Raw genomic sequence first — 11039 nt, 5'->3', positions numbered from 1 at the left:
AGAGGTCATCGCCATGGACCCAGGTGTGTCATCACCACGGACCCAGGGGTCATCGCCATGGACTCAGTGGTCATTACCATGGGCTATGAAGGCCTGGGCTCTCCCCAGCTCTGCCATTTATTGGCTGGTCAACATTGAAAAAGAAACATCTGTGCTTCCATCTCACCATCTGCGAAATGGGGTAATAACCCCCACCCCTACCACACCAGGTGGGGAGAACCGGATGAGGCGGTGACAGGTGGGGAGAATTGGATGAGGCAGTGACAGGTGGGGAGAATTGGATGAGACAGTGACAGGTGGTGAGGACAGGCGCCCCCCAGAGGTTGTCAGTGATGAGGGTGTGGAGGCCTCACAGGCAACTCCAAGGGGAGCTCCTTGACCACGGGGCTTTGTCTGTCTGAGCACACAGCAGGGTGCCTGGCACATAGGAGGCAACTCTGTTAGTGTGGAGAAAGGGAAAATGCATTTACAAGCATAGACTTTACAGCCACTCAGAACCGGGTCCAAATCCTGCCATAAAACTCACTGTGGGTCCCCAAACAAGCAGCCTGGCCTTTCTGATCCTCAGTTCCCCTATCTCTAAAATGGGAATAATAGAATCTACCTCCCCGGATTGTCTTGGAGAATAAATGAGATCAATGCATTTGTGCATAAGTAGCAGTTAGGATTATTATCGCTACTATTATTAATCAGAGTCCCTTTGAGAACTCATGAAAAACACCCCATGTCTTTTATCTGCCTAAAGCTTTCAGCTTCCCACGGTGCCAAAAGACAGGTTGGGAGTGGCAGGGAGAAGAGAGAGGAAAGAAAGGGAAGGGAGAGGGAGTGGGAGGCGCCCTCCTGCCAGCTAGAGAGAGTGCGACCATCTCTGGGAACCCGACTGGCGCCCAGGAGCCAAAAGGCAGAGGCCAGGCCGGGGCAGGTTTTGATGCTCTATTGCCCAGGGGTCACAGATGCGGATCTGATAAGACCTCTCCACTTCCTCCAGGGAGCCAGCGGCAGGGGAAAAGGAGGCTCCAGGCAGGGAGAGAACAGCAGGACTGTGCCCCTTCCCCCCTCCCCCTTCCGGGCAGAGTGGCGAGCCCAGGCCCGGAACTGCCTGGGTCCAGGGGAGGAGGGAGCGCCAGCAGGGCTGAGAGCTGACATTTAAAAATTGAGGGTGCAACTGTCATCCTAAGTGTACAGTGTCCATGTATTTTTACATGCAGATACACCCATATAGCCCCCTCCCAGATCAAAAGACAAAACATTTCCATCTCCTCAGGAAATTCTCATTCCAGTCAATATCTCCCCTTCTCCGCCTGTGACAACCACTGATCGCCTTGCTGTCACAGTCAATCCGTGAAAGGACCTGCTCCTGAACATGCAATCGAGCCGTGCAGGAGGTCATCTTCTGTGCCTGGTTTGGAGATTTCTGCAACATGGTTGCATCCCTCCATGAGGCTTTCTTGCTGCTGAGTGGGATTCCAATGTCCCAGTGTCCACATAGACTCCAGCTGGTTGACCCATTCACTACGATGGACACTGGGTTATTTCCATGGTGGGGTAACTATTGATAAAGCCACTGCAGATGTGTTTACACAACTCCCTTGCCTTCATTTATCTTGAGTATACATCTAGAGTGGGAAGGGCTGGATGGATTTTCCAGCATCCTGGCCTCATTTTAGATTCCCGACCAGCACTGCAGGAGGGTCCTGGCTGCCCTACCCGCTCTCCAACCCCTCATATTCTGGTATGTGGCACTTTTCGTATGTGTGACTTTGGACACACACCTGGACATCAGAGTTCCCCATTTTCCTCATCTGCAAAGTGGGGGTAATAATAGAACCTACTTCTTAAAGTTACTTCAAGGATGACATAAAATAATTCGATTTAAAACTTGGCCCCACCGTAAACGCTCAGTACACATGAGTGGGAAACATGAACACCCGCTCAGATCCCCCTAGGACCTCAGCGTCTTCTTCCATTACTCCTCCTTCCAGCTATTTTCCAAGCTCTATCGAGGTCACTCCTTTCCCTAAAGGGTGTCTCCAATCAAGGTCTTCCTCTCCAGTCCCTCTCCAGCTTCCCTCCCTCAACCCTCACACTCCCTATAGGCAGCCCCCCACCACCTCTAACTCCTGTAACTCTAGTCCTTCCCCCACATCACCGTAGCCCAAGCACTCTCCTTAAAGCCTGGTTACATTCACATGTTCACATCAGCCCCTGTTCAAACACCTTCTGAGGCTTCCCATGGCCATGCTTTATCTGCAAATGACACTCATCCTGCCGGTCACCCCAGGTCCTCCCCACCCCTCACACCTCCTGTGGAGTCAGTCCCACCGCCCACCCCTCAGCGGCTGCCCAGCAGCCACTCTGCTTTCTCCCTCTCCTGGCTTTGCCTGAGTTGCACTTTCCTGCCTGGTGCATAGGCAGCATGAACCCCCCAGGCTGCTGCCTCCCGGTCTCATGATATCACCTGACCTGCCACCCCATTCCTGTCGGGGTGTCCTCCTTTCTTCTCAGGACAGAGGGCCCATATCAGCCCTCACACAACAGTTTTCTGGCTTCCCCTGAGGTTTTTAATCTATGGGGTCCACCACGGCTGAGGGTGGGCAAATGCGGGGCAGGGACAACGTGGTCTCCAGAAGCTTCTTTTGGTCTCTGTTTGGAAGAGTTCTAGCTTGCAACAAGCTCTTTATTCAAGATAAAGATTTAACAGTTTAACAATTTTTTATTCAAGATACAGAATACCTAAGTCATATGTGAAGAGCTCCATGATTTTCCAAAAAGGAACGTGCTTGCCAGCCCAGCCCCCTCCCCTGCCACTTCCCACAGGCTTTCTGTGACCCCTGACCTAACCCACCACATCCTCCAGGGTCTCTCAAAGCCACCCTGCTCCTCCTTCCGCACTCCATAAAACATGCATTCCTCTGGGCCCTATTCCTCCAAGCTCAGCCCCGCAAACTTCAAACAGTGGGAGAGGGTCTCTCTTGTTACCGAGCCCAGCCCCTGGCACAGGGCCTGGCACATTGTAGGCGCTCCTCACATTTTATGTGGCTGGAGGAGTTGTTAGGTTTCCCTCCTCACCCCCTCTCACCTTACTGCTCTGATAAGGGAACACTCGGCCCTTTGATCAGTGGGCCAGGCAGCTTCTAGTCTCCTTCTCTGGGGAGCTCCGGAGTTCTGAAGGCGAAACCTGCAGGGAGAACTCCCACTTCCCCAGGGGGCCAGCCTGGCAAAAGACCCAGGACAGAAGCCAGCTCGAGCCTGGTCCCAGGCCTCCTGGGCCATCTTAGGGAGCTCAGATCTTCCCCAAAGGGAACATCAAAGACCAGCCTCCACTTCAGAGGCAGGAATTTGGATTGTGGAGATCACTGGGTCATAGGGTGAGAGATAACCATGGGATAGATAACTGGGTCCCTTGAAAGGCTCTCCCTTCTAGAGCATGAGGCAGGGTCTGCCAGATCTGCACCTCCTGGGATTCTGGCTGGATCAGAAGCCCCCAGTTTGGAGGACTCGAAGGGAAAAAAAAAATTCACCCAGGGGCTCCAAGAACCTAATAGGACATTGTGAGAAATCCAGAAACCTGTGTTGCCAGCGGGGGTTTACTTCGGTCCAACACCGTGGAAGCTCAGCCTGAGTGTCATTCCTGGTGGCTGGGCAATTCCACGCCTAGGCGTGTCCCCTACAGACAGGCATCCGTACAGTCACCAAAAGGTGCATTCTAGAATGCTCATGGCAGTACATAGTATGTGCTAGAATTGCAATAGGCCCAAACTGGAAATTATCCAATGCCCATCAACAGGGAGATAGGTACATGAATGGCGGTGTGTTCATAGAATGGAATACTCCACAATTAAAATGAACATGCTGTCACCACATCAACCGCAAGGGGGGATCTCCCATGATCCCTCAAACAGGAAACTAAGTGTTGATCACTTTGCCACACACAGCCAGCTCCGCCCATGCGCTGGCAGGTGCTGCAGGAGCTTGGCTCACCTGGGCCCCAGAAGCCCAGCACAAGCCATGCAGCCCTCCTGGCCCTGCTCCAATGGGAACCTCGTGCAGCTGGCTCCCCTGCCACCCTCGTGGCCACACAGCCCATCTTATCTTGGAGCCAGGCCCAGGCCAAAGTCAAGGAGAAAGAATCAAATCCGCATCAGTAAGCCTGTGTCCTGTGGCCTCATCATAAAGGACTACAACTTGGGGAGGGGAGAGGAGGAGGCTTAAAACAACAGAAATGTATTCTCTCCCAGTTCTGCAGTCCAGAAGTCTGGAATCAAGGTGTCAGCAGGGCCCCCAATCCCTCCAGAGGCTCTAGGGAAGGCTTCTTCTTATCTCTTCCAGCTCCTGGGAGCTCCAGGCAGCCCTGGGCTGTGGCCACGTAGCCATCATCTCTGCCTCTGTCCCCGCAGGGCCTTCTCTCTGTGCCTCTCTGTCCTTTCCTCTTCTTGTAAGGACACTGGTCACTAGATTCAGGGCCCATTTGGCTGATCCAGGATGATCCCATCCTGAGATCCTTGACTTAATTCCATCTGCAAAGACCCGTTTCCCCAGTGAGGTGACATTCACAACATTCATAGGTACCAAGGTTTGAGACTTTAACATCTGTGTCCGGGGGTCACCACTGAGCTCATAACATCTCCGCTGCTCCTCGGTAAACCAAAATCCCACACAAGGTCTGAAATGGGCCACTGACGACCTCAGAGAATGACTGCCTTCAGGTGCGGTGCCCACGCTTGCTCTGGAACCATCCCTAGAGGCAGCCAAAGGCCTTGGCATAGAGTGTGGGTGGGAATCCAGGGCTTCATGAACGCCCAGGCTCTTGTTGGATGTGGGTTCCCCCAGAACCAGGCCCTGAGATGAGGCTTCCAGTGCAATAGGCGTATCTGGGAGGTGCTCTGGGAAACCAGCAGTGGTGGGTGAGAAAGGGGAAGACAGGGAGGCCAGCAAATGGCAGTCCCCAGGCCAGCCAGCACAGTGGGCACCGGGAGGCCAGCTTAGGGGAACGGGAGATGCATCGCGCCCCCTGGTGGAGGCCATGTTTGTCCACCACACCCCCATCCCACAGTAAGGGCTGCTTTGGGAACGTTGACTTTCCTGTGTTGCCAGCTCGCCCCGCATGGTCTGAGGAAGCTTCTGCGGTTGGACAAAGGCCTTGGCTAGAACCCAAGTGTGCGGATGATAAACAGCCTCCAGCTTGCAGAGGGGAATGCAGGAGGGCACAGGCAGGGTCCGGCACCCACCACGGGGTGCGTGGCTGGGACGGTGGGTCTGTACAATCCATCTCCTGTATAAGTCTATGCGTTTTGTTTTACGGATTTAAAAACCTTATTCCAAGAAGAATTTCCTGTGGCTGCTGTAACAAAGGACCCAAAACTGAGTTCACCTCGCAGATCCATTCTCTTACAATTCTTAGGGCCAAAGTCCCAAACAACCTCACTGGGCTGAATCCAAGGTGTGGGCATGGCTGGTTCCTTCTGGCGGCTCCAGGGGAAAATCTGGCCTCTCACCTTTTCCAGCTTCCAGAGGCCACCCGCATTCCTTGACTCACGGCTCCTTCCCCCATCTTCACAGCCCTCAATTGCATGGCTCCAACCTCTGCTTTCACCCTCACAGCACTTCTCTGACTCTGAACCTCCTGCCCCATCCCCAACAGGGACCCCACAATGACGTTGGGCACCCAGATAATCCATGATACTCTCCCCATTGCAAGGTCCTTAACCCAGTCACATGTGCATGCCACAGGGCAGATACTCATGGGCTCTGGAGATCTGGGCATGCATAGCTCTGGCAGTCATTGTTCTGCTGACCATGAGGCCCTCAGGCTCCACCAGACAGCAAGAGGAGTCCCAGCAAGGCAGGAACCCCGCAGAGACACCAAGAGTGCCAAGCTTCTGGAGGTTTGGCCAGTCCAGAACGTGACCGCTGATTTCAGGCTGAGCCAGTCCTGGCAGAAAACAGTGACCCCCCTCAGAGAGTTTAAGTGAAAACAGCACATTGCAGGGCCCATTCACCGCACAGCGGGCAGAGCCAAGGGGACAGGTAAGGGATATGGAGACCCCAAGATGAACGGCAGCAGGAAACTGTGACCACCCCAGGGCCGAAGGGACAAGGGAAGGAAATAGTGTCACCAGCCAGTGGGAGAGGGAGCACCGAGCAGGAGAGATACAGCCATGGTCAGGGCTGTGGTGGCAGAACAGGGTGGGGACAGGATAAGAAAAACCCCAACCCTGCCACCTCCTGTTCTTGGGATTTGCCCAGTGGCCCCAGCAGCCAAAGTCACTGGGAGCCAGCAGGTGGGAGCCCAAGACGTGGGTGTGTCAACTGTCACCCGCAGCAGGTACAGGGCAGCCAGGGTGGAGCACGAGGAGCCACCAGCCCCACCTCAGCATCTCTGAGCCACATCCCTCGCAAAGCTTCTCTGGTTTTATAGCCCAGCTGCTGCAAAATTCCTGGTGATGGGGCAACTCACACCTGGGAGGCAGGGACTGCCTGCACCCTGGGGTGGGGGGCAGTGAGGCCAACCCCGATAACTTCATCTGAAGCCAGGGGAAGCCAGCACCTGCCAAAAGGAATAAAAATGAAACCAATGTTACATGACTTGACAGGATCCCTGGAGTTTTATTCACGGACTAAGAAATAAGGATTAAAACAAGGAGCAAGGGAACAAAGGCTTGTCGTGCAAGGAATGGATTTGCCTTTCGACCCAGAAGACAGGCCATTTATTTGAACGAGAACTCTCACAACTCTCTCTTTATCCCCTTTGGAGCATATTTTATGTCGCCAAGAATTTCAAGGCGATTAAAACCAGCAAAGAAACAAATCCTTTAAAATTGCCTATTTATAGCAAAGGGTAGGCAGGTTTTCAAAGCAGCAGGAGTGGCAAGACTTTAGAACCTCTTTTGAAGTTGACAGCCGGCAGGATTTACTGACGCTGAACACACAATCCCCCTGTGACCCAGAAATTACACTTCTGGGCAGATTCCCACCCCAAACAGGGATACGCATTCACCAAAAGGCACAGTCTCGAATGTTGGTGGCTGTCCTGCCGAAATGTCCATCGATGGTAAAATGGGTAAGTGAATCAGGACAGTCTCCCCGTGGAATACTACACAGCAAAGAAAATGAGAATTTGGCAACCACACAGTCACAAGCACAAAGATGATCAAAAAAGTCCACATGCCACAGCCATAAACTCAAACTCAAACGACTTCTCAGTGGTGACAGAGGTCACATTGTGGTTCCTGGGAAGGGTAGTTACCAGAATGGAGGAAAACGGGGGGCCTTTTGGGAGTTGGGGCATGTTGTGCCCCTTCACCTGGGACCTGAGCCCTGCAAACCTGTGACGCCATCTCCCAGGAGGAGCTCAGAGGAGTCACTTCTCCCTCCCAGTTCGAGTAGGGGCTGGGTTAGATCTGAGTTCCTCAGATTTAAGTCATTCAAGGGGAAACAACCACACTTTGGGGACATCTGCATTCCACCAGTGGTTTCTGTTTACGTTTACTCACTATATTTCAACTTTTTTCACTTAAATATTATTTTATTTAAGGGACAACTGCATATCATTAAGATCATAGAAAAATCAGCCCTGCTTTCCAGAAATGGAAGGTCACCATAAAAACTAACACAGTGCCACAATCCCTCATTCACAACCCAAACCCAAGGCTCTGAAAAGCAAGAGGGTTTTGTTTGTTTGATTTTTTTCTTTTTGTTTTTATTTATTATTTATTTGTAAATTTGGTACATTCTCCTTTGGTGGCAAACCTGACTTGAACTGACTTGGAGCTCTCTGTAGTCTCTCTATTCTACTTAGTGTGAAAATCACATTTTTCGCTGAAGAAACAGATAAAAAAGAGACAGTAATAAGGGACTCCCCAGAACCCACTAAAAGTGTTAAGCAAATCGCTGTACAGACACCATACTGCCCAAGGGAAATTTAAACTTCGAACGCACAAGGCTTAGGATTTTGGCGAAGGCCTGGTATTCCTGTACCAGACCGCGAAACAACGGCATTCACTGATTTCTCGCGATATCCTTGTTATTTTGCTTGCCAAGGAGCTGTGATCCGAAGCCTATTCTCTTCTTCTCAGAGGGGAAATTAGCAGAGGTAGAGGAAGATGAAAGTCACATGAGGCTCCTTGAGCAAGGGGCAGAGGTGGGATCTTTTAGACTTTATAGCCAAAGCAAACAGAAAAACATGCAAATGCCTTTTTAAAACTAGAAAACAAGGACATGCTTGTAAACGTTCAAACAACACTAGAGCTTATAAAGTGTGGCACTTTTTAAAAACTCATCCCATACATGTTTATTCATTTCTCTTAATTGACAAATGAAGAATTCTATGTATCTATGTTGTGCCACTTAATGGTTTGATACATGTGTACGATGTGAATGATTAAATCAAGCTAATTAACATAAAGTGTGGCAGTTTTAAAACATGACCACAGCATTCTTTGATCATCCTCTCATTGAGAGGTAGTTCACGTCTCCTCCCCATGAATCAGGGTAGGATCTGTGGTCACTTGGCCAAAAGAATCAACAGAAACGATGCTGCCTCACTGCTGAGGCCAGATCAGAGGAGCAGAGAGCTTCTGCCTGGTGCTACTGGGACGCTCGCTCTGGGGGAAGCCGGCTGCCACATAAGAAGTCCAACAACCCTGAGCCACCACAATGAAGGGGGCCAGCACAGGGGCCCCGATTCACAGTCCAGCTGGACTACTGGATGCCAGCCACAGTAACTGCCAGCCACAAGGGAGAGCAGCATGGACATCCAGCCTCGAGAGAGGGACAGCGCCGATGTCCAGCCTCAAGGGAGGGACAGCGCGGACGTCCAGCCTCAAGGGAGGGACAGCGCGGACGTCCAGCCTCAAGGGAGGGACAGCGCGGACGTCCAGCCACAAGAGCAGCTTCCCTGAGCAGGCCCCTCTCCTGAGAGAGGGAGAGGAAGACAGAGAGGGAGAGGAAGAGAGAGAGGGAGAGGAAGAGACAGAGGGAGAGGAAGAGAGAGAGGGAGAGAGAGAGAAAGAGAGAGAGGGAGAGAGGAAGAGAGAGGGAGAGAGGAAGAGAGAGGGAGAGAGGAAGAGAGAGGGAGAGAGGAAGAGAGAGGGAGAGAGGAAGAGAGAGGGAGAGAGGAAGAGAGAGGGAGAGAGGAAGAGAGAGGGAGAGAGGAAGAGAGAGGGAGAGAGGAAGACGGAGAGAGGAAGAGAGAGGGAGAGAGGAAGAGGAAGAGAGAGAGGGAGAGAGAGAGAGAGGAAGAGACAGAGAGGGAGAGAGGGGGGACAGAGAGAGAGAGGGAGAGAGAGAGAGAGACAATAGATCAATATCTCCTACTGGTTCTGTTTCTCTGGGGAACCCTAATACCCCTATTGCCTTGCTAAAATCCAAAAACAAACATGAATTTCAAAATACATCTGGCCCAAGGTGCTGAATCAACATTTGTTGAATAAATGAAGTTACGAGTGAGTAAGTGAATCCACGAACACACCACACACCAAGGGAACGGAGGATGAGCCCTGTGCTCTCATGAAGTTCCAGGTTCTGCCGTCAACAGGCCTGGATGTCCATGCTAGCCGTCCCTCGTGGCTGGACATTCGCGCTGGTCCTCTGTCATGGCAGGCAGCTGCTTCTGGCTGGAGCTCAGCCAGACTGAGGACCGGGGCACCCACACCTGCCCCTTCAGCATGCCGGCCTTAGGGTTGTAGGACTTCTCATATGGCAGCCAGCCTTCCCCAGAGCAAGCATCCCTCGAGCACCAGGAGGAAGCTGCATGGCCTTCCCTGACCTGGCCTCCGAAGTCACATGGCACCAGCTCCACTGAACTCTATTGGGGGATGTGGTCATAAGCCCCCAGAGTCAAGGGAAGGGGACAGTGACCCCATCTCTCAATGAGAGGAGTATGGAAGAATGCAGTGGCCGTGTGTTAAAAGTGCCTAGTTTACAAGCTGCAGTGTTGTTTGAATTTTACGAGCGTGTGCTTCTTTCTCATTAAAAGATATTTGCATATCTGTTTGCTTTGGAGCACGGCCATAGAGTCCGAAGGATCCCAGCGCTGCCCCTTACTCAGGACATAATGCCAGGCAGGGAGGCCCTGGCATTACGCAGAGTGGCTTTGCCAGACTCAACTCATGCTTCACAATCTATGTTGCTGCTTTCACGTAACCTCAGAAGTTATCTGTGGTCTCCATCAGTGACGATCACGTCCCGTTGGGGGCGGAACGCTGCAGGGAGAACAGAGGCTCCACTAAGCCACCCCCATGCCACACCAACAACGACCCTCTGGGAAACTCCCTCTGGTCCGCCCAGTCCCCTTCCTTCCCCACTCACCCACCCACCACCCCCTTCCCTCCAGGCTCCTGCACACTGGGAAGTCCAGAAGCATCCAGCATCCTCCAGGCCTCCTTCCTTGTGCCAAGCAAGGGCCCGGGGGAGAGCAGAGCCTCAAGGCCGAGGGAAGGCGGTCATCCTGGCGCTGGGGATTCCGTGCCCCTCCAAAACTCCACACGGACGGTGCTCGGCAAAACAGCCTCGGAGTTCTAGGTGGTTTCCATGGCTTGGAACTTATAACCTCATTTTCTTTTTTTCCCAGGCAGAGAAAATGCCTTGGCTCACAGCCAGCCTCTGGCCAGCAGCTGCTAATTACCCACGTGTGGAGAAGGGTGGCAGGGTGGAGGCCATGGGGAGCGCGCTGAGTCCTGGGAAGCAGGACAGGAAGCTGGGAAACCTTCCTCCTCCCCATGGCACAGGGAAGCTCTGCAGGGAAGCCCAGGCCAATGCGGGGAGGCCTGGACACTCTAACAAAGGCTGTGCCCGCTCCATTCCCTGCTGCCTGGAAGTGCAGCCCTTTAGGGCAAGCAAGGACCAGCCCCTCCCCCACACTGTGCTAGTCCATGTGCCCACCACTGTGACAAGCAGGGGGGTCACACAGTCCAAGTGTGCTTCTGCTCAGGACACAGTCCGGGGGCCGCTCTGCAGGGAGCTCCACACACTCATGCAAGGCCCAGAATGGCCCACACCGCTCCTGTTCCCATTCCTTCAGCAAGTGAGGCACCTGGCCC

The 11039-nt window shown here is 52.8% G+C and overlaps 1 long non-coding RNA gene across 1 annotated transcript, besides 4 other annotated features; it reads left to right on the top strand.

The window, feature by feature from the left end:
• The first annotated feature begins 65 nt into the window (after positions 1–65).
• LOC105371389 (uncharacterized) lies at positions 66–1584 on the top strand. Its single transcript, XR_933854.3, has 2 exons — positions 66–209; positions 1265–1584. It is a non-coding gene; the product is annotated as an uncharacterized LOC105371389 (long non-coding RNA).
• Positions 476–976: an enhancer, noted in NCBI's record as "H3K4me1 hESC enhancer chr16:86082033-86082533 (GRCh37/hg19 assembly coordinates)". NCBI's record gives its function as "activates a minimal SCP1, AML or CMV promoter by ChIP-STARR-seq in naive H9 embryonic stem cells {active_cell/tissue: H9 hESC(naive)}" and the evidence as "EXISTENCE:reporter gene assay evidence [ECO:0000049][PMID:30033119]".
• Positions 977–1477: an enhancer, noted in NCBI's record as "H3K4me1 hESC enhancer chr16:86081532-86082032 (GRCh37/hg19 assembly coordinates)". NCBI's record gives its function as "activates a minimal SCP1, AML or CMV promoter by ChIP-STARR-seq in naive H9 embryonic stem cells {active_cell/tissue: H9 hESC(naive)}" and the evidence as "EXISTENCE:reporter gene assay evidence [ECO:0000049][PMID:30033119]".
• Positions 4970–5019: a silencer, noted in NCBI's record as "silent region_7831". NCBI's record gives its function as "represses an Ori minimal core promoter by ATAC-STARR-seq in GM12878 lymphoblastoid cells {active_cell/tissue: GM12878}" and the evidence as "EXISTENCE:reporter gene assay evidence [ECO:0000049][PMID:35858748]".
• Positions 10212–10712: an enhancer, noted in NCBI's record as "H3K4me1 hESC enhancer chr16:86072297-86072797 (GRCh37/hg19 assembly coordinates)". NCBI's record gives its function as "activates a minimal SCP1, AML or CMV promoter by ChIP-STARR-seq in naive H9 embryonic stem cells {active_cell/tissue: H9 hESC(naive)}" and the evidence as "EXISTENCE:reporter gene assay evidence [ECO:0000049][PMID:30033119]".

The sequence above is a fragment of the Homo sapiens genome, chromosome 16, assembly GCF_000001405.40.
Source record: "Homo sapiens chromosome 16, GRCh38.p14 Primary Assembly".
Taxonomy (NCBI): domain Eukaryota; kingdom Metazoa; phylum Chordata; class Mammalia; order Primates; family Hominidae; genus Homo; species Homo sapiens.
The sequence above is the reverse complement of the archived record's forward strand: the minus strand, read 5'-3'. Positions and strand labels throughout refer to the sequence as shown.